This window comes from Homo sapiens, chromosome 10 (genome assembly GCF_000001405.40).
Source record: "Homo sapiens chromosome 10, GRCh38.p14 Primary Assembly".
NCBI classification, from domain to species: Eukaryota; Metazoa; Chordata; class Mammalia; order Primates; family Hominidae; genus Homo; species Homo sapiens.
The window spans coordinates 38,526,321-38,528,180 of NC_000010.11; the positions used below are offsets into that span (position 1 = coordinate 38,526,321).

Consider the following 1,860-nt stretch of genomic DNA (forward strand, 5'->3'; position numbering starts at 1 on the left):
ATTCAAATGTAATAGAATGGAATGGACTTGAATGGAATGGAGTGGAATGGAATGGACTCGAATGGAATGGAGTGCAATTGAAATGAATAGAATGGAATGGAAATGATTGGAGTCGAATGGAATGGATTGTAACGGAATAGAAAGTACTCGAATGGAATGGAAGGTAATGGCATGAAATTTACTCGAATAGAATGGAATGGAGTGGAATGGAATGGAATAGATTCGAATGGAATTCAACGGAATGGAATGCAATGGAGTGAAACGGAATGGAATGGATTTGAATGGAATAGAATGGATTGGAATGGAATGGACTCGAAGGAAAAGGAATGGAATGGAATCGAAAGGAAAGGAATGGAATTTAACAGAATGGAGTCTAATGGCATGGAATCTAATGGAATGGAATGAAATGGACTCGAATGGAATGGAATGGAATGGACTCCCAAGGAATGCAATGCAATGGAATGGACTCGAATGGAATGGAATGGAATTGACTCGAATGAAATTGAATGGAATGGACTTGAGTGCAATAGAATGGAAAGGACTCGAAAGGAATGGTGTGGAATGGAAGGGATTCGAATGGAATGGAGTGGATTGGACTCGAATGGAATGGAATTGAATGGACACGATTGGAATGGAATACATTGGAATGAAATGGATTTGAAAGGAATGGACTGGAATGGAATGGTCACGGATGGAATGGAATGAAATGGAAAGGACTCGAATGAAATACAACGAAATTTAATCGAATGGACTCTAATGTAACGGAATGTTGCGGGCTCCAATGGAATAAAATGGACTATACACGAATGGAATGGACTCGAATGGAATGGAATGGACTCGAATGGAATGGAATGGAACGGATCCAAAGGTCATAGAATGGAATGGACTCGAATGGAATGGAATGGACTCGGATGGAATGGAAAGGAATGGAATGGATTCAAATGTAATAGAATGGATTGGACTCGAATGAAATCGAATGGGATGCAGTCGAATGAAATGGAATGGAATGGAATGGATTCCAATGTAATAGAATGGAATGTACTCGAATGGAATGGAAGGTAATGGAATGGAATGGAATCAAATGGAATGGAATGGAAAGGAATAGAATGGACTGGAATGGAATGGAATGAAATGGAATGGAACTGACTTGAATGGAATAGAATGCAATGGAATGGTATGAAATCAAAGGGAATGGAATGGAATGGTCTCGAATGGAATGGAATGGACTCGAATGGAAGGGAATGGAATTTAATAGAATGGACCCAATGGGATGGAATCTAAAGGAATGGAATGGAATGGACTCGAATGGAATGGAATGGATTGGAATCAAATGCTATGGAATGCAATGGAATGGACTGGAAAGGAATGGAATAGAATTGACTTGAATGGAATTGAATGGAATGGACACGAATGGAACAGAATGGGATGGACTCCAATGGAATGGTGTGGAACGGAATGGACACGAATGAAATGGAGTGGAATAGACTCAAATGGAATGGAACTGAAATGACATGATTTGTATGGAATGTAGTGGAGTAAATTGGACTCGAATGGAATGGAATGGAATCGAATGGTCTCGGATGGAATGGAATGGAATGGAATGGAATGGAATGGTTTGGAATGGACAGAAATGGAAGGGAATGGATAGGAACAGAAAGGAATGCAATGGAATGCAATGGACTCGAATGGAATGAAATGGAATGGAACCTATTTAAATGGAATGGAATGGAATGCTCACGAATGGAATGAAATGGAATGGAAAGGACTCAAATGGAATGGAATGGAATGGAATGGAATGGACTCGAATGAAATACAACAGAATTGAAAGAAATGGACTCTAATGGAATGAAATGTTGTGGA

At 39.6% G+C, this 1,860-nt stretch overlaps 1 annotated feature.

The window, feature by feature from the left end:
• Window positions 284-1,145: an enhancer, noted in NCBI's record as "OCT4-NANOG hESC enhancer chr10:38815532-38816393 (GRCh37/hg19 assembly coordinates)". NCBI's record gives its function as "activates a minimal SCP1, AML or CMV promoter by ChIP-STARR-seq in primed H9 embryonic stem cells {active_cell/tissue: H9 hESC(primed)}" and the evidence as "EXISTENCE:reporter gene assay evidence [ECO:0000049][PMID:30033119]".